The 21,241-nt window shown below is 39.5% G+C and overlaps 1 long non-coding RNA gene across 2 annotated transcripts in view; it reads right to left on the bottom strand.

The window, feature by feature from the left end:
- The window catches only part of LOC105378198 (uncharacterized), a 46,805-nt gene that overhangs the window by 6,064 nt on the left and 19,500 nt on the right, over positions 1 to 21,241 (bottom strand). Inside the window, exons 2-3 of one of the 2 annotated variants that reach the window (XR_001742904.2) lie at positions 19,857 to 19,920; positions 18,450 to 18,932 (exon numbers count right to left, since the gene is read on the bottom strand). This is a non-coding gene — a long non-coding RNA (uncharacterized LOC105378198). Of the gene's footprint in view, positions 1 to 18,449; positions 18,933 to 19,856; positions 19,921 to 21,241 lie in introns of those variants that run through there. The other variant, XR_001742905.2, reaches the window with a different exon arrangement.

The raw sequence follows: 21,241 nt of genomic DNA, 5'->3' as shown, positions 1-21,241 counted from the left end.
CAACATCCTTAAAGAAAAGAAATTCCAACCAAGAATATCATATCCACCTAAACTAAGCTTCATAAGCGAAACATAAGTAAGATCCTTTACATACAAGCAAATGCTAAGGGAATTCGTTACCACCAGACCTGCCTTACAAGAGCTCCTGAAGGAAGCACTAAATATGGAAAAGAAAGACCATTACCAACCACTACAAAAACACACTCATGTACACAGGCCAGTAACATTGTAAAGCAACCACACAAACAAGTATCTATAATAACCAGCTAACATGATGACAGGATCAAATCCACACATATCAATACTAACCTTGAATATAAATGGGCTAAATGCCCCAATTGAAGGAACAGAGTGGCAAGCTGGATAAAAAAGCAATACCTAAAGGTATGCTGTCTTCATCTGACCATCTCACACACAATAACATCCGTAGGCTCAAAATAAAGAGATGGAGGAAAATCTACCAAGCAAATGGAATCAGATAAAAGCAGGGGTTACAGTCCTAATCTCATACAAAACAGACTTTAAACCAACAAAGATCAAAAAAGACAAAGAAAGGCGTTATATTTTGGTAAAAGATTCAATAAGAAGATCTACCCAAATATGTATGCACACAACACAGGAGCATCCAGATTCATAAAGCAAGTTCTTAGGGACCTTCAAAGAGACTCAGACTCCCACACAATAATAGTGAGAGACTTCAACACCCCGCTGACAGTACTAGACTAAGCATCAAGTCAGAAAATTAACAAAGCTATTCAGGACCTGAACTCAGCACTGGATCAAATGGACCTGATAGACATCTAAGGAACTCTCCATCCAAAAACAACAGAATATACATTCTTCTCATTGTCACATGGCACGTACTCTAAAATCAACCATACAATTAGATGTAAACCAATCCTCAGCAAATGCAAAAGAACTGACATTATACCAACTACTCTTATACCAACCACAATGCAATAAAATTAGAAATGAAGACTAAGAAACTAGCTCAAAACCATACAATTTCATGAAAATTAAACAAACTGCTCATAAATGACTTTTGGTTAAATAATGAAATTAAGGCAGAAATCAAGATGTTCTTTGAAACCAAAGAGAACAAAGTTACAGCATACCAGAATCTCTGGGACACAGCTAGGCAGTGTTAAGAGGAAAATTTATAGCACTAAATGCCCACATCAAAAAGTTAGACAGGTCTTGGCTGGGCACAGTGGTCCATGCCTGCAACTCCAGCACTTTGGGAGGCTGAGGCGGGTGGATTACTTGAGGTCAGGTATTTGAGACCAGCCTGGCTAACATGACAAAACCCTATCCCTACTAAAAATACAAAAATTAGCCGGGCATGGTGGTGTGAGCCTGTAATCCCAGCTACTCAGGAAGCTGAGGCATGAGAATCACACGAACTCGGGAGGTGGAGGTTGCAGTGAGCCAAGACTGCCATTGCACTCCAGCCTGGGTGACAGAGTGAGACTCCAACTCAAAAAAAAAAAAAAAAAAAAGAACTACAGTACTAGGAGCAAACCAACCCCAAAACTAGCAGAAAACAAGAAGTAACCAAAATCAGAGTTGAACTGAAGGATATTGAGACACAAAAAACCATTCAAAAGATCATTGAATAAACAACAAGAAAAGAACAATGAATCCAGAAGTTGGCTTTTTTGAAAAAATTAATAAGACAGGCCACTAGCTTGACTAATAAAGAAGAAAAGAGAGAAGATCCAAATAAACACAATTAGAAAGGACAAAGCGGGTATTACCACTGACCCCCCAGAAATACAAATAACCATCAGAGAATATTATGAATGCCTCTATGCACACAAACTAGAAAATCTAGAAGAAATGGATATATTCCTGGATATATACACCCTCCCAAGAATGAACCAGGAAGAAACTGAATCCCTGAACAGACTAATTATGAGCTCTGAAATTGAATCAGTAATAAGTACCCTATCCAAAAACAATCCCAAGACCAGATGGATTCACAGCTGAACTCTACCAGAAGTACAAACAAGAGCTGGTACTATTCCTACTGAAACTATTCCAAAAAATTGAGGAGGAGGGATTTCTCCCTAACTCATTCTAAGAGGCCAGCATCATTCTGATACCAAAACCTGGCAGAGACACACACACACAAAAAGAAAACTTCAGCACAATATCTGTGATGAGCATCAGTGCAAAACTCCTCAACAAAATACTGGCAAACTGAATCCAGTAGCATATCAGAAAGTTTATCCACCATGACCAAATAGGCTTTATTCCTAGGATGCAAGGTTGGTTCAACACATGAAAATCAATAAATGTGATTCATCACATAAACAGAACTAAAGACAAAAACCACATGATTATTTCAATAGATGCAAAAAAGGTGATAAATTTCAACTCAACTGTATGCTAAAAGCTCTCAGTAAACTAGGTAGTGAAGAAACATATCTCAAATAATAAGAGCCATCTATGACAAACCCACAGCCAACATCATACTGAATGGGCAAAATCTGGAAGCATTCCTCTTGAGAACTGGCACAAGACAAGGATGTCCTCTCTCCCCACTTCTTTTCAAAATAGTATTGGAAGTCCTGGCCAGGGCAATCAGGCAAGAGAAAGAAATAAAAGGCATCCAAATAGGAAGAGAAGAAGTCAAAACTATCCCTGTTGCAGATGACATGATCCAGTATCTAGAAAACCCCATAGTCTAGGCACAAAAGCTCCTTCAGCTGATAACTTCAGCAAAGTTTCAGGATACAAAATCAATGTACAAGAATCACTAGCATTCCTATACACCAACAACAGCCAAGCAAAGAGCCAAATCAGGAATGCAGTCCCATTCACAATTGCCACAAAAAGAATAAAATACCCAGAAATGCAGCTAACCAGTGAGGTGAAAGATCTCTACAAGGAGAACTATAAAACACTGCTCAAAGAAATCAGAGATGACACAAACAAATGGAAAAACATACCATGGTCATGCTCATGGATAGGAAGAATCAATATCATTAAAATGGCCACACTGCCCAAAGCATTTTATAGACTGAATGCTATTTCTATCAACTACCAATGACATTGTTCACAGAACTAGAAAAAAAACTATTTTAAAATTCATATGGAACCAAAAAAGAGGCTGAATAGCCAAGGCAATCCCAAGCAAAAAGAACAAAGCAGGAAGCATCACACTTCTTGACTTCAGACTATACTACAGGGCTATAGTAACCAAAACAGCATGGAACTGGTACAAAAACAGACACATAGACCGATGGAACATAACAGAGAGCACAGAAATAAGGCCACACACCTACAACCATCTGATCTTCGACAAAGCTGACAAAAGCAAGCAATGGGAAAAGCTGAGAAAAACAAGCAATTCAACAAATGATGCTGGGATAACTGGCTAGCCATATGCAAAAGATTGAAACTGGACCCCTTCCTTACACCATATACAAAAATCAACTCAAGATGGATTAAAGACTTAAATGTAAAACCCAAAACTATAAACTAGAAGATAACCTAGGCAAAACTATTCTGGATGGAGGAACTGGCAAAGATTTCATGACAAAGATGCCAAAAACATTCACAAAAAAAGCAAAACTTGGCCAATGGGATCTAATTAAAGAACCTCTGCACAGCAAAAGAAACTATTAACAGAGTAAACAGACAACATACAGGATGGCAGAAAATTTTTGCAAACTATACATCTGATAAAGGTCTAATATCCATCATCTATAAGGAACTTAAATTTACAAGAGAAAAAAACACCATTAAAAAGTGGACAAAGGACATGAATGGACACCTTTTAAAGGAAGATATACATATGGCCAGCAAGCATATGAAAAAAAGCTCAACATCACTGATCATTAGAGAAATGCAAATTAAAGCCACAATGAGATACCATCTCACACAAGTCAGAATGGTTATTACTAAAAAGTCAAACAATAGGCCAGACGCAGTGGCTCATGCCTGTAATCCCAGCACTTTGGGAGGCCCCAAGGAGGGAGGATCACTTGAGCCCAGGAGTTTGAGACCAGCCTGGACAACATGGCAAGACCCCATCTGTATAAAAAAAATACAAAAATTAGCCAGTGTGGTGGCACCCGCCTACAGTCCCAGCTACTCAGAAGGCTGAGGCAGGAGGATCACTTGAGTCTGGGAGGTCAAGGCTGCAGTGAGCTGTGATCATGCCACTGCACTCCAGCCTGGAAACAGAATGAGACCCTGTCTTAAAAAAAAAAAAAAGTGAAAAAATAACAAATGCTGGTGAGATTGCAGAGAAGACAGAACACTTACACACTGTTGGTAGAAGTGTAAATTAGTTCAATCATTGTGGAAAACAGTGTAGTAATTCCTCAAAGAGCTAAAAACAGAACTACCATTTGACCCAGCAATCCCTTTACTGGGTATATACCCAAAGGAATATAAATTGTTCTATCATAAAGACACATGCATATTTACTGCAGAACTACTCACAATAGCAAAGACATGGAATCAACCTAAATGCTCATCAATGGTAGACTGGATAAAGAAAATGTAGTACATATACACACCATGGAATACTATGCAGCCATAAAAAACAATGAAATCATATTTTTGCAGGAACATGGATGGAGCTGGAGCCCATTATCCTTAGCAAACTTATGCAGGAATGGAGAATCAAATACTGCATGTTCCTACTTCTAAGTGGGAGCTAAATGATGAGAACATATGGGCACATAGAGGTGAACAAAAGACACCGGGATTTACAGGAGGAGGGAGAGGATCAGGAAAATTAACTAATGAGTTCTAGGCTTAATATCTGGGTGACGAAATAATCTGTACAATAAACCCCTGTGACAAAAGTTTGCCTACATAACAAACCTGCATTGTATCCCTGGACTTAAAATATAAGCTAAAAAAAGATGTTGTAAATTTATAGTATTGATAAATACAGTACAGTACTGTAAATGTATAAAACAAAAACAAAAAAGAAGAGCTTTAAACATATTATAACTTGCTTAATTTCATCCATAACAAGAATACAAATTAAAACCACATTGAGACATCATTTTTCATCAATCCGATGAACAAACATTTAGAAAAATTGACAATAGGCTCTATTAATAAGGTTGTGGAAAAGTAGGCATTCTCATGTATTGTTTGTAGGAGTGAAAAACATGGTAGAACCACAATGGAGGTAATTTGGCAATATCTTCAAAGAATGATGAATGCATTTGTCTTTTGAACTAGCAATTCCATCTTTAAAAATTTAAATATACACCTTCACAAATATTAAACATTATATACACCAAGTTATTTATTGTGACATCATTTATAATAAAATAACTGGAAAACAACCCAATGGTAATCAGCTGAGACTGAATGAAATATGATGAATCTACTGAACAGTGTCAATGGTGTACAATATAATTGTTAAAAAAAAATGAGAGGCCGGGCGCGGTGGCTCACTCCTGTAAACCCAGCACTTTGGGAGGCCGAGGAAAGCAATCACGAGCTCAGGAGTTCAAGACCACACCAGCCTGACCAAGATGGTGAACCCCGTCTCTACTAAAAATACAAAAATTAGCCGGGCATGGTGGTGCGCATCTGTAGTCCCAGCTACTTGGGAGGCTGAGGCAGAAGAATTGCTTGAACCCGGGAGGCAGAGGTTGCAGTGAGCCGAGATCACACCACTGCACTCCAGCCAGGGTGACAGAGAGAAACTCCCTCTCAACAACAACAACAACAAAAAGTCTTAGCCGGGCGCGGTGGCTCACACCAGTAATCCCAGCACTTTGGGAGGCCAAGGCAGGTGGATCACAACGTCAGGAGCTCGAGACAAGCCTGACCAACATGGTGATACCCTGTCTCTACTAAAAATACAAAAATTAGCCAGGCATGGTGGTGGGCGCCTGTAATCCCAGCTACTCAGGAGGCTGAGGCAGGAGAATTGCTTGAACCCAGGAGGCGGAGGTTGCAGTGAGCCAAGATGGTGCCACTGCACTCCAGCCTGGGCGACAGAGCGAGACTCCATCTAAAAAAAAAAAAATACTTAGGCCAGGCACGGTGGCTCATGCCTATAATCCCAGCACTTTGGGAGGCCGAGGCAGGCAGATCACGAGGTCAGGAGTTCAAGACCAGCCTGGCCAACATGGTGAAACCTTGTCTCTACTAAAGATACAAAAAATTAGCCAGGCATGGTGACGTGCACCTGTAATCCCAGCTACTCAGGAGGCTGAGGCAGGAGAGTTGCTTGATCCCGGGAGGTGGAGGTTGCAATGAGCCAAGGTCGCACCATTCCACTCCAGCGTGGGTGACAGGGCGAGATTCCATCTCAAAAAAAAAAAAAAAGTCTTATCTGAGATTCTTTATGGAACAGAGTTCCATCAAAACCAATTAAAAGAAGCCTATGTGGCAAATAATTATTCTTGCTGCACTTTAAACAAATAATTAGGCCAAGTATATTAAAGCAAATTGGTCTTACCATGATTTGTCTTTAGTAAAAATGGGAGACTGGAGAGAGAAAAAATATGTTTCAGGAACTATGGTACACCTTTTGTCAGATTTTAGTCTCATCAGTTGTTTTTGAGTTTTTTGTCTGCAATTTAGACTGCTTATTCCTGTAAACCAACCAGTGGTGTCTGGCTGATAGAAGAAACAAGAAGGATAGGTGATATAAAAATGTGGATCAATATTCTAATTCTGGGCATGTATTGAAATCAGCTAGTGACTCCATATTAGCTCAGTTCCAACAGTTGCCTAGCTTATGGAAAGCCTTCTTATTTAGTTTACTTGAGATAACTTTACTTATTTTGCTTTACTTTTGTGGAATATATTGGTGTTGTGCTCTTTGCATAGGAATGCAGAACAAGCTTACTCAATGTTTTCCCAAATTAAACACTTATTAATCTTCCAGATGTCACCTTTTATCAGTACTCAGGGTTATGAATGGTGCTTGACATACTGATGCTTTCTGATTGAGCTACTCTCTACCCTGAATACAAGAGACCCTAATAATTAGGCAGGAATATCATTGCCCCTATTCAGCCTGAAAAAGTTACAAAACATGGATCTTCATCCTGCTACAACCCTTAGGATTAAGAGTTTTCTTATAAAAGGGAGGGAGGGGCCAGGTGCAGTGGCTCACACCTATAATCCCAACACTTTGGGAGACTGAGGCCAGTGGATCACTTGCGGTCAGGAGTTCGAGACCAGCCTGACCAACGTGGTGAAACCCCGTCTCTACTAAAAATACAAAATTAGCTGGACATGGTGGCACACACCTGTAATTTCAGCTACTTGGGAGGCTGAGGCAGGAGAATCACTTGAACCTGAGAGGCAGAGGTTTCAGTGAGCTGAGATCATGCCATTGCACTCCAGCCTGGGCAAAAAGAGCAAAACTCTGTCTCCAAATTAAATAAATAAGTAAATAAATAAATGGGAGGGAGGAAGTCTGTCAGAGGCCTTTGAATCAGAGCAACTCCATCTTGAATGGAGGCTGGGTAAAATAGGGCTGAGACCTACTGGGTTGCATTCCCAGTCACATTCTAAGTCACAGGATGAGATAGGAGGTCGGCACAAGATACAGGTCACAAAGACCATGTTAATAAAGCAGCGTGTGGTAAAGAAGCCAGCCAAATCCCACCAAAACCAAGATGGCGAAGAACGTGACCTTTGGTCATCCTCACTGCTCATTATATACTAATTATAATGCATTAGCATGCTAAAAGACACTCCCACTAGTGCCATGACAGTTTACAAACGCCATGGTAACATCAGGAAGTTACTCTATATGGTCTAAAACTAGGAGAAACCCTCAGTTCTGGGAATTGCCCACCCCTTTTCCAGAAAACTCATGAATAATCCACCCCTTGTTTAGCATACAATCAAGAAATAGCCATAAAAATAGGCAACCAGCAGCCTTCGGGGCTGCTCAGCCTGGGGGATAGCCATTCTTTATTCCTTTACTTTCTTAGTAAACTTGCTTTCACCTAAAAAAAATACCCAACATCAATTATCATTAGAAAAATGCAAATTAAAACCATATAAATATCATCTCACACCAGAAAGAGAGGGAAAATAAGTGTTGGAAGGGGTGTGCAGAAATTGGAACCTTTGTGCACTATTAATGGGAATGTAAAATGGTGCAGCCTTTTTAGAAAACAGTAAGGCAGTTTCTCAGAAAATTAAAAATAGAATTACCGGCAGGGCACGGTGGCTCACGCTTGTAATCCCAGCACTTTGGGAGGCTGAGGCCAGTGGATCATGAGGTCAGGAGCTCGAGACCAGCCTGACTAACATGGTAAAATGCCATCTCTACTAAAAATACAAAAATTAGCTGGGCATGGTGGTGTGCGCCTGTAATACCAGCTACTAGGGAGGCTGAGGCAGGAGAATCGCTTGAACCCGGGAGGCGGAGGTCGCAGTGAGCGGAGATCATCCCATCACACTACAAAATGACAAATACTATATGATTCCACTGATATGAGGTCCCTAGAGTAGTCAGATTCACAGAGACAGAAAACAGAATGGTGGTTGTCAGGAGCTGGAGGATGGAAAATGGGAAGTTGTTGTTTAATGGGCATAGAGTTTCAGTTTTGCAAGAAGACAGCCCTGAAGATTGACTGCCCAACAATGTGAATGTGCCTAACATTACTGAACTGTACACTTAAAAATGGTTAAGATGGTAAATTTTATATTATGGATTTTACCACAGCTTTTTAAAATTATTTTAAAACTGGCTGTCACAAAAAGGAAAAGAATATCAGGTGAGATTGGTCTAGATTAAAGAGACTGGAGAGATGTCATGACAACTAAAAGCAATGCATGATCTATAATTGGTTCCTGACTTTAAAAAATATTATATATATATATATTATATATGTATATATGTATGAGTCCAATTGTCCAACCAAGTACCAAATGTCATTCTTCATTTCTTGCAGGCACTCACATTCTCCACAGAGGCCTACTGAATTCTTTCTCATCACATGGCTCCCTAGATGAAAGGAAAGGTCTCACACTGTGACAACCTTCCCCCAACCCACTATCAAGGATTCTGACAACTATCCCTTTCCCTAGTACCGTCTTTATACAAACTGGGGATTGGGGAAAGGTAAGGGGGTGATATCGTGATTGGTTATCAGAAAGCTGGCTTGGCCACTAACTCTTGGCAATCAGGTGGAAGCTACTCTTAGAATTACTTCTTTCTGTTTTCAGCATAGCTCAAATTCCTGGGCAAAAGAAAAACTCTTAACCAGATGGGGCAGCTCATGCCTGCAATCCCAACATTTTGGAAGGCCAAGGCGAGAGGATTGCTTGAGCTCAGGAGTTTGAGACTAACCTGGGCAACAGAGTGAGATGCCCTCTGTACAAAAACTTCTTAAAAATTAGCCAGGTATGGTGGCATGTGCCTGTAGTCCCAGCTACTCGGGAGGCTGAGGTGGGAGGATGGTTTGGGCCTGGGAAGTTGAGGCTGCAGTGAGCTGTGATTGTGTCATTGCACTCAGATCTGGGCAACAGAGTAAGATGCTATCTCAGAAAAAGAGGGGAAATCCCTTGCATATTATCCTTTTACTTATTATGACAATTATTATTCTCTTTTCCCTTGTTTTGCTTTTTCAGGCTGGTCAACTATCTGTTCATTTGCTCTCTTCTGTATATGGGTGTAGGGGCATGGCTCTGCCACGTTGACCTGCCAACCTTATATGTACTCACATAGGCCATACAGGCAAGGCTTAACCATAATTAATCAAAGTCTTGGCGGACATTCTGTGATCCTTGGGGAACAGGCTTATGAGGAACTACCACAAGGCCACTTTCAACTCATCTTTTTATCTTCTTGGGAGGCTGTCATGAGGCAGTTCTTATCACTTCCCAGGTTCTGATAAGGTATGAGGCATTCTGCCTCATCTTTCTTAGGGCAGAACTGCAAGCCATAAACTTCTTAGTTGCAAATGGACTCAGCTCCTCAGCAACAGGGTGTCTCATTACTCAGGTTGCCATCCCCTTTTGTATTGGTGCTGTCCTGTGGGAGAGCTGGAAATTCTGCTTATTTCCTTTTGTGTCTATGTAAGTAATAAACTGTCTGAATCAAACAAGGACTGCTGTTTCTTTACTAATCAAAGCTGCTAGGATTTGCCTGAGAATGGGTTCTTATTTTTCCTTGAAGTTCTGTTTCAAAATAGTTTCTTTTTCAAACCTTGTCAACTTGTCTTGGCAACCAGGGATTTGGTTCATATCTGGGAGAGATGACAGTAGTGAGAAGCTGCTCAGAGGAACTGTGGGGATCTGGAAATTTGGTGAAGAGCAGATTTACTCATGGAGTAGGTCTCAAAAGACTCTTACCAAGGCTAACCTCCAGAGTTTCTGTCCCAACCTTAAACCTCTTCAGCTCCTGACCCAGCCTAGTCTTCTCAGGAATCCATGCCGTTTTAGACCCCTCCTTGAAAAAGGGCTCTCTCCCATCTCCAAGAAAATGATAAGCTTGGTGGGGACATACATAGAGGACTAAAGAGGGTCCATGGACATCAAACCTGCCCCCAAAACACAGACAGGAAGAAGCATGCAAATATATCACTGAGATAATGCAGAAAGTAGATTGAATTTGGAGTTCCTTGACAGATAAGTGTCATGAGTTGGTATACCCTGGGCAGTAGGGTCAGCCTAGGCCTGAATGGTTCAAGAACGATGCTGAGTTTTAAGTTTCCTTCTACCCACCACAACTTCCAGACCAGGACACACAAACTTGGGAAGCCCCCATTTGAGGATGCACACCACTGAGAGAAACCCATGTCTTCCTTTCCCTAAAAACTGTTCCCCCAGCTGTGTCTAGGCTCACTCTCCCTCCTCCCACTCAGTGGCTACCTGCCACAAGTCTTGGACCAGCCTCAGTGCTTCCCAGATGACCAAACCGGGGTCATTTTAGCTCAAATCAACTTTCACAGCCAGTACATGAGTCAGACCCATGAAATCCTCCCAAACTGCCAAATGCCAGCCTTGGGTCTTTAAAGCTACCAGAGCTTCATTGTTACCTGGTTACTAGGTAATAACCCACAACAATTACTCCTCTCTGGATCTGGGCCTAAACATTCTGGTATCTTATAGCTCTTTTGTATTAATACTTTCTCTGATTACCTGAAATGATATACCACATAGAAAACTGTACTAAGAGTTATTGAAGAATGTGCAAAAAATTAACAAGAGGTCCAAGGAAAACTAAGCACATGAAGAAAAGTCAAGCATTAACTTCAGGAAAAGTAGAAAGAAGAAAAGGAGACAATCATGGTATATGACCATGTTCTGCTGGGAATTATATTTTGCAAAGGCATAAAAATGTTAACATGAATATTCATCTAACAAAGAATTGTTAGGGCCAGGCACAGTGGCTCACACCTATAATCCCAACACTTTGGGAGGCCGAGGTAGGAGGATGGCTTGAGCCCAGGAGTTCGAGATCATCCCATGCAACACAGTGAGACCTCATCGCGACTAAAAATAAAAAATTAGCTGGGCGTGTGGTATGTGCCTGTGGTCCCAGATTCTTGAGAGGTTGAGGCAGGAGGATCGCTTGAGCCCAGGAGGTGGAAGCTGCAGTGAGCCATGATCGCACCACTGCATTCCAGCCTGGGTGAGAGAGCAAGAGCCTGTCTCAATAAAAGAAAAAGAAAGAAAAGAAAAATTAAGTCATTTCAATCATATACAAACTATCCTAATTAATAAGAAGGAACACTTCCTAAATGATTTTCTAATGCTAAAATAACCTGATAGTGAATCCTATTGTAAAAAATACACACAAAAAAGGAAAAGCCCAGTCTAATGTCATTAATGTAAATAAATGAAAAAAAACCCATACTAATTATTAGAAAATTAAATCCAGTAGTACATAAAAAAGAATAATACAGCATAAGTAGAATTTCTCCAAGATATGAGGTTGACTTAACATTATAAAAGTAATTAGTATATATGCAAAGTTAATGAACTAAAGGGAAAATCATGATTATCTATGTACATGCAGAAAAATTACTTAATAAAATTCAACAACCTTTCATGATTTTAAAATAATCTTAATTAATCTTAAGATTTTTAGCAGATATTAGTTGTATCCTTAGGCATATAAGAGAATATTTGTAACTTGGTAAGGGTGTCCAGGGGAAAAAAAAAAAGCTAAAGCAAACATCATACTTAATGGTGAAATGATTAAAGCTTTCCCTTTGAAATCCAGAACAAGACAGGGATGTCTGCTATCATCACTTTAATCATCCTGTCGTCATTGTTCCAAAGGGCCTAACCAGTGTATACAACAAGAGAAAAATATAAAGGTCTGAGGTGTTCATATGGCATTCTCCATGGTTAGAAAAAGAAGGGGAAAAGTATAAGGAGGTTATTCCGTAGGATTTTGGGGAACAGGTGGTATTTGGTTACGTGAGTAAGTTCTTTAGTGGTGATTTGTGAGATATTGGTGTACCCGTCACCAGAGCAGTATACATTGAACTCAATTTGTAGTCTTTTATCCCTCACCCACTTCCCACCCTACACCCCTGAGTCCCCAAAGTGCACTGTATCATTCTTATGCCTTTGCAGCCTCATAGCTTAGCTCCCACTTATGAGTGAGAAGATACACCTTCTTATATGAAACTTTTTTATTTAGAGTTAAAACTCTGTATGTTTAGAGTTAATACGAGTATAAAACTCTCCTTATTTAGAGTTAATATGATTATAAACATTATAATATCCAGCAAATTTACAGAAAAACTAGTAGGTAATAAGAATAGCAAATTTTCTGAACATGGAAGTAAATATTCATGAAAGGTCATTTATAAGAAAAACAAACCTGACGCTTCATTATAAAAACAAATATTAATTACATCTCATGGGTCAGAAGTAAAATTTTTAAAAATAAAATAGGTTTTAAAATTTAAAAATATTAAATTGGCAGTGAGGGAGCAACTCACAAATTATTTTATAACGACAAATGTTATCATAAAGGCCCATGCTTAAGAATCAGGCTGAAAGTTGCTTGTTCTGGGCCAGGGGTGGTGGCTCACGCCTGTAATCCCAGCACTTTTGGAGGCCTAGGTGGGTGGATCACTTGAGGTCAGGCGTTCCAGACCAGCCTGGCCAACATGGTGAAACCCATTTCTACTAAAAATATAAAAATTAGCCAGGTGTGGTGGCCCACACCTGTAAGCCCAGCTACCAGGGAGGCTGAGGCAGGAGAATTGCTTGAACCCTCCAGGCGGAGGTTTCAGTGAACCAAGATCACACCACTGCACTCCAGCCTGGGCAACAGAGTAAGACTTTGTCTCAAAAAAGAAAAAAAAAAGTTAATTATTCTGCAGAACTTGGAGGTGATCCCAATGGTACCTCTGAGAAGCCACCCTGTCATTCTAAAAAGGATGAATACGATTAAGAAACATGTTCACCAGCCTGGGCAACATGGTGAAACTTTGTCTCTACTGATACAAAAATTAGCCGGGAGTGGTGGTGTGCACCTGTAATCCCACGAAACTGAGGCATGAGAATCACTTGAACCTGGGAGACAGAGGTTGCAGTGAGCTGAGATCGCACCACTGTACTCCAGCCTGGGCAGCAGAGTGAGACTCTGTCTCAAAAAAAAAAAAAAAGAGAGAGAGAGAGAAAGAAAGAAATATATTCAGAGGAATCCTATGAAGAAATAGAAAGTAAAACATCTAGTATTTCATCATTAATAGGTAATCATAGAGAAGAATAAAAAGAAGAATAAGGAAGGATATGAGGAGAATTGTTACTAAAGGAAATCTATGTTGTATTTTACTAATTGTTCATTTTGGGGCTTTTTTATTTTTATTTTTTTGTAGAGACGAGGTCTCACTATGTCACCCAAGATGGTCTCAAACTTCTGGCCTCAAGTGATCCTCCTACCTCGGCCTCCCAAAATGCTGGGATTATAGGTGTGAGCCACTGCACCTGGCCTCCTGTTCATTTGGATTTTCACTTCTCTGTTTTATTCTTCGTGCCTTCATCTTACTTTAATATTTTCTAAAATTCTATTTTGAGTTAATACTATGTTTTTTAGTGCATCTCTTTGTATAACATGTTAGCGGTTGCTCTGTCCACAACTTATCAAAGTCTATTCATTTTTTTCCGTCTAATTTCTCTCTGTTGTTTAGGTTGGATAATTTTTATTATTCTATCTTCTAGTTCACTTGTTATTTTTTCTGCCTCCTCCATTATGCTGCTGAACCCACCCACCCCATCCACTGAGGTTTTTATTTCAGTTATTATATTTTTCAGTTCTAAAATTTCCATTTAGTTCTTCTTTTATCATCTATTTCTTTGCTTATGCATTCTATTTTTCATTTATTCCAAGAATGTTTATAATTGCTTATTGAAGCATTTTTACAATGGCTAATTTAAAATTTCTGTCAGATAATTCTAATATCTCTGTCATCACAATGTTGGCATCTGTTGATTGTCATTTTTTCATTCTGTTTGAGATCTTCTGGTATGATAAGTAACTTTTCATTAAAACCTGGATATGTTCATATTATATTCCGCTACTCTGGATCCTATTTAAACCTTCTGTTTTAGTGGGATTTCTCTGATACCATTTAGGCAGAAGGGGGAACAGAGAAAGAAGGAGATGTCACCTAATTACTGCCAGGTGCAGGCAGAAGTCCAGGTTCCCCACAGAGCCTCCATTGCCACCTGAAGAAGGGAGCTCATTGTTACTGCTGGGTAAGCATGGAAGTTCTGGCTCCCCTGACACCACAGTGAGGATGGCCACATTACCACTGGGTAGAGGTCTAAGTCCAGTCTTCTCATATAATCCCCCCTGCTGGGAAGGGAAGTATTAACAAAAGATCATGAGATTTGAGGAAGAAGAAAAAAGAGAGTTTTATTTCCTATAAATGGTTACAATCTGCAGGTTGGGAAATGAAACATCCAGCCAAAATGAAAAGCATCTGCTTCAGAGACAAAAGGGAGAAGCTGGGACTTATGCCCAACAAGATGAGCTATATGTACATATTCAGTAGCTTATAGGAGAATCTATGAATATTTGAGAAAACCCTAATGCATGCAAAGAGAATAAACATATATGTTACATATGTTCCATGTTCATTTTGGGGTGGGGATTTAATAGTAAAGTGAAGTGGCACGTGGCTGTTTATATATAACAAGGTGAAACAGAACACAAAGGCATCTTGTGCACAGCCTCTGTGGACTAGGTGCAATCAGTCTGTGGTCGGTGGTCAGTATAACAATGGAATGTTTAATAAGGCTGGTCAGTAGTCATGGTGAAACCACGATAAAAGAGGGGAGGTCAGCCATGACATCAAGAGGTCTCTTGAGGTTGAGGGAGAAATCTTCCAGACAGTTTTTTAGGAACTCGTTTCTGTTTAATTGTAGGAAGGAAAGTTTTGAGGCAGTTAACAAGGTAGGGGAGTGTTGAGGTGTGACTGACCTCTTGCCTTGCCAAAGCCATAGAATGCAGTTTTCAAAGTTTCTGGGGTCTCTTTTGCAACAAGAAGTCCATTCTGTTTCACCTAGGGGCTTAGGGACTTTAGTTTTATTTCACACTTTCCAGCTTTAGGCTGAAATCTGCCATAGGCAGCATTGATGGCTAAATTTTCTAACATGTCCCATGTCGTTCCCAGGATGGTGTGGATACCTGCCCCAGGTCTATCTAGTCTGTCAGTGGGACTCATGTGGCTAGGAGACTTACAACCAGTTGAATATTTTAGGCCAGGCAAGAAGGAGGCAGACAGCTATTAAGACCCTTTGAACCTTTGAGACTAGAAAAACAGTAACAACAGAAAAGTTGAGAAGGTAAGTTTATGTTTATGTTGTCTGTCATTTCTATGCATTGTGCTACCATAACTTTGGTTTTAGTGACAGACTTGAAGTAGTTGGTTATAGATCTTATAAGTACTTTGACTATCAAAAATAGGAACAAGATAGTGATATGATAATGACAAGGGTTTGTAAGATGGATTGGAAGTAATTTCTAATACTGCAATGAGTCAGCTAAAAACGTTATTAAGGGGATCTGTGGTTTGTACCTCCTGTAACCAGGCAGCCTGTTGGGTGATCTTACCTACATGGGTTGTTAAATCTCCTATAATGTTGATATAAGTGCAACAAGTGGTGTGGGCTATCATGCAAATTCCCCCTTGTTTAGCAATGAGAAAACCTGGTGCAATTTGATTGTCTAAAACCACTTGAGCGAGAGAATTTAAGGACTTCTACTGTGTCATAATACTTATTGCAGCATTTTCAGCAATTTGTCCTATGGTGGCCGGCATTTTTTTTTATCGTATCTCTGTTAGTGTATACTCCGTAGCTGAGAAAAATTACACCCCAAAAACTATGCTACCACATATCCTGATATCCACTTGGTAGCTCTCTTTTAGCTTACCGGAAAGCAAGATTTTCTTTATGATTGAGATGGATGGAAAAGAGGGCAACGTAATGACCTAGAAGGCAAAGTCCTTCAACTTGCCAGCTGTTTATGCATCTGTGTGCCTCTTCTTGAACTGGGGGATCTGACTCAATTCTATATAGGAAAGTGTGTCCTCAAGGGGCACAAGTTATACCTCCAAGGGTATGCCAATTTATACGTTCATTTATGAACAAGATATCTATTATGTGAGTGAACCACGAACTGGTTTTGTTGCAAGCCTTCTAGAAGCCTGCAGAGGCATGATATCTAACAAAGAGGAGCTGTTGTCAGTGTTTGATATTTTTTCTTTGGGCATTCAGTGGTTATGTACAGTAGCAAGGGTGGGAGTCCCAGAATCTAAGGAGAAAGCTACATAGACATAAAAATCTTAATCTTTTTAAAACTCAGTTTTCTGGTTTGGTGCAGTGGCTCATACCTGTAATTCCAGCACTTTGGGAGGCTGAGGTGGGAGAATTGCTTGAGCCCAAGAGTTTGAGACCAGCCTGGGCAATATACTGAGACCTAATCTCTACAAAAACCTTTTCAAAAGAATAGTAAAATTACCTTTTACTCAAAAGGGTAAGGGTTAAGGTGTGGGTTTGGTAACAGAAGTGGTCAATAAAACTAAAATTGTGAGGAGTGAAACAGAGGAGTCCATTTTAGTTATAAAAAAATTAAACCAAGAGAGAAATCATAAATTCCATACAAATTGCTGAGGGTCACTATCTAGAGTCTGGGGGTATTCTTTAAGGTAATGGAGTATTTGATTAACAAGGAGCATGGTAACTATGTTTTCTAAAGTGAGGATTATAGGCTCTGGGAAAGGGATTTTGGACTTGGAGGTGGATGAGAAATTTTAGAAGTATCTAAAAATGGAATACAAGGGTAAGCATTGTAGCACAACATAGGATCTCCAGAATACATAATATTCCCAACGTCAGGGTAATCAGTCAATAACGCAGGTACTTGAGGCAATGGCAATGGTAATTTGTCTTAAGTCAAAAGTGGGCGAGTTAAAATACAGCCCTGGTCCAGCATCTTGGACAGGCAGTCCACCTCAGCTGTCATCTTCTTCTCAGCCATGAGGTGGAACCCTAGTCTAAGTCTGGTGTCAGATACTGGTGTTGAGGTCCAGTCTTCCGCGGAGGGAAGAACTTCGTTATTCCAAGTGAGAAATTGGTATTCAAATATGTTAAAGTCTTTTCGATAGAAAGCAATTTGGATTATAGCTTATTGCAAATGTTTTTAGAGAAGAATTAAAAACAGTAACTGTAGATGACAAAAACTTAGAATGGCTATGGTTAAAATCTAATGAAAGTTCTCAATTGACAAGAACATTTAGTTATTTACATTATATGTAGTATTTTAAGATAACAACCAAAATTATGACTGATAACACATTAGATCTTTCTGAATTTATATAAATTTTGAACCATTTATATCAACAACATATCATAGTGTAATTAAAAGAAGATCTAGTATTGCTTATTATTTGACAATGTTTTTATATAATTTACCAAATAAGCCTAATCATTTAAAATATCTCTATAAAATGAGAGATATATCTGTTGAAGCTTTTTAGGGGCCCAATTAGAAAATCTTAAAGTTAATTCTAAGTAAAAAGACTTAATTTAGGATTGATTTTGAGGATGTTTGTCAAAGATGTTAAAAGGCCCAAAATATTTGATCAAAACAGGATCACGGGTCATTGTAAAATAATATTCATTTAACCGAAGTGACAATCAAAAGACTTTAAAAGTAATACAGAAAGCTACATAAACATAAAAATATTAATCTTCTTAAAACTCAGTTTTCTGACTTGGTGCAGTGGCTCACGCCTGTAATTCCAGCACTCTGGGAGGCCGAGATGGAGAATTGCTTAAGCCCAAGAGTTTGAGACCAGCCTGGGCAATATACTGAGACCTCATCTCTACAAAAACCTTTAAAAAAAAATTAGCCTAGGATGGTGGCACATGACTGTAGTCCCAGGCGTTTAACTGTAGGAAAGAAAGTCTTGAAGCAGTTAATGAGGTAGGGGAGTTTTGAGGTGTGACCGAACTCTTACCTTGCCAAAGCCATAGAATCCAGCTTTTAAAGTTTTCTGGGGTCTCTTTTGCAACAAGGAGTCCATTTCATCTTGCCTGGGGACCTACGGGCTTTATTTTTATTTCACAGAGGGAAAAAGGGAACCTCATAACTGGTCAGCATGGATAAAAATTTTGTCCCCTATTTGGCCTTCTTTAACACCACGTTGGTGGGGTCTTGGGGTAACTTCTTATAGCCGCTCAGTGGTGGAAGTTTAGGCTCCTACTCAGCCTTTGCTGAAGTGGGTGGGGCCATAGTTGTTGGAGTGTGTGTGTGTGTGTGTGTGTGTGTGTGTTTGGTGTTTGGCTGGGGTAGAACAGTTATTGTCTAAGAATTTTATGTCTTTCTAAGCTGTCCTCTTCCTGATCCTGGTCCTATGAATAGAGAAAGCAGACTTTTGCTGGGGCTTTTAAAATCTGCGTCCATTGGCATTTCCAGATTGCCAGCTTCTTCAGTTCCAAGTCTGGAATACAAAAGGAAAAAAAAACTTACGACTGTGTTGTACCTTGAGTCTTGAGATCCCTAGCTGGTCTGCCTTTTGTCTGCCTTTCATTGTATTACATTTGTTTTATGTACAATGCTTTGGGGTTTTAGCAGGATGAATGGGGAATATTACATTTACTCCACCTTCCTGGAAGCAGAAGTATGTGTAATATTTTGAATAAATACCATAAACTATTCCATGCATTCATGAAATATGCAATTTCTCATTCACCAATGTAAATGGCTTGATTCACCATTATAGAACCATGCATAAGTACAACAAGGAAGTTTTATTTAGGGAAACTCAAGCAAAAATAAAAAGGCAATTTGTCAAATGTAAAAAGGTATTTGCCTGCAAATATAAGAAGTATAGACCAAGCGCAGTGGCTCACGCCTGTAATCCCTGCATTTTGGGAGGCCAAGGTGGATGGATCACCTGAGGTCAGAGTTCGAGACCAGCCTGGCTAACATGATGAAATCCCGTCTCTACTAAAAATACAAAAAATTAGCTGAGCGTGGTGGCACGCACCTGTAATCCCAGCTACTCACTCAGGAGGCTGAGGCAGGAGAATCACTTGAACCCAGGAGGCAGAGGTTGCAGTGAGCCGAGATCCTGCCACTGCACTCCAGCCTGGGCAACAACAGCAAAACTCCGTCTCAAAAAAAAAAAAAAAAAAAAAGAAGTATAATAAACACTTTCTATGTTCCAAACCTCTTGCTAAGCACTGTTGTAGCTCTCATAACCTATACTATATTGAGGAGCCCAAATTGCTTTCGAAAGTATTTCTACTTTCAAAAGTATTAAGTCTTTTGACTTACTTTCCATACAGCAATGCAAATAAGCAACTGCTACGCACAACAAAATAGATGAATCTAGAAACATAATGAGGGTCTTTGGCCATACCATCTTGAACGTGCCCGGTCTCCTCTGATCTTGGAAGCTAAGTAGGGTCAGGCCTGGTTAGTACCTGGATGGGAACATAAGGAGGAATGAGAAAATCAGTCACGTATTATTCCATTAATACAAAGTTGAAAAAACAAAACAATCGTAATATTAGAAATCACCTCAAGGCTTTCTTCTGAGGACAAGTGTGAGAGAAGTGACTACAGGAGGCTCTAGAAGGGCTTTATGGAACAGTCCTATTTATAGACATGTGGTGATTTCATGGTTTTCTTTACTTTGTATTAATTCATAGAGCTGTAAATTTATGATTTGGGTACTTTTTTGAAAATATACTATTTTATCTAAAGATGTATTTTTAAAAAAAGACGCACACTATTCAGCATTCAAGGTTAAATAAGAAAATACATTACGTGGGCCGGGTACAGTGGCTCACGCCTTTAATCCCAGCACTTTGGGAGGCCGAGGTGGGCAGATCACGAGGTCAGGAGATCAAGACCATCCTGGCTAACACGGTGAAACCCCGTCTCTACTAAAAATACAAAAATTAGCCGGGCGTGGCGGTGTGCACCTGTAGTCCCAGCTGCTGGGGAGGCTGAGGCAGGAGAATGGCTTGAACCCGGGAGGCAGAGCTTGAAGTGAGCCGAGATCGCGCCACTGCACTCCAGCCTGGGCGACAGAGCAAGACTCCGTCCCAAAAAAAAAAAAAAAGAAAAAGAAAAAGAAAATACATTATGTGAATTTATTCTATATACTTAAAATGAAGATTTTGTCTTTTTTCATGAAAATACAATGAGGTACCAAATTACAGCCATAAAATTGACAAAAATTTTTAAAGTTGTACAATGCCAAATATTGGGGACATGATACACTGCTGGTAGATGTGTAAGCTGGTAGAAATACTTTGGAAAACCACTGGGCAAAACTATAGAACTGAAGACATGAATCCACTAAATACTTAGCAGTTTGACTCCTAGGTATGTACCCTGGAGAAATATATGCTGAAGTGCCGCAGGACATATGTATAAGATGGGAATATCTGTTTTTTCTGGGTTTCAGTTATTATGAACAATGAACCAAAACTAGAAATGCTACAAATATCCATCAATATTAAAATGAATAAGTAAATCATCTTATATTCATTAAATGGAATAGTAACCCACAACATAAACAAAATGGATAAATCTTACAAATGTATTATTGAACAAAAGAAGCAAAACAAAACAAACACTTCAATATAACTATATTTATGAAAGTAATCAAAATAGGAAAACTAAATTATAGCACCCAGGCATTCATACATAAGTGGTAAAGATATAAAGAAGAGTGAGAAAATTATTATTATAAAAATCAGGTAAATGGAGGGGGCGGGCACAGTGGCTCACGCC

Source organism: Homo sapiens, chromosome 5, assembly GCF_000001405.40.
Source record: "Homo sapiens chromosome 5, GRCh38.p14 Primary Assembly".
NCBI classification, from domain to species: Eukaryota; Metazoa; Chordata; class Mammalia; order Primates; family Hominidae; genus Homo; species Homo sapiens.
This window is presented reverse-complemented; position numbering and strand designations above follow the sequence as displayed.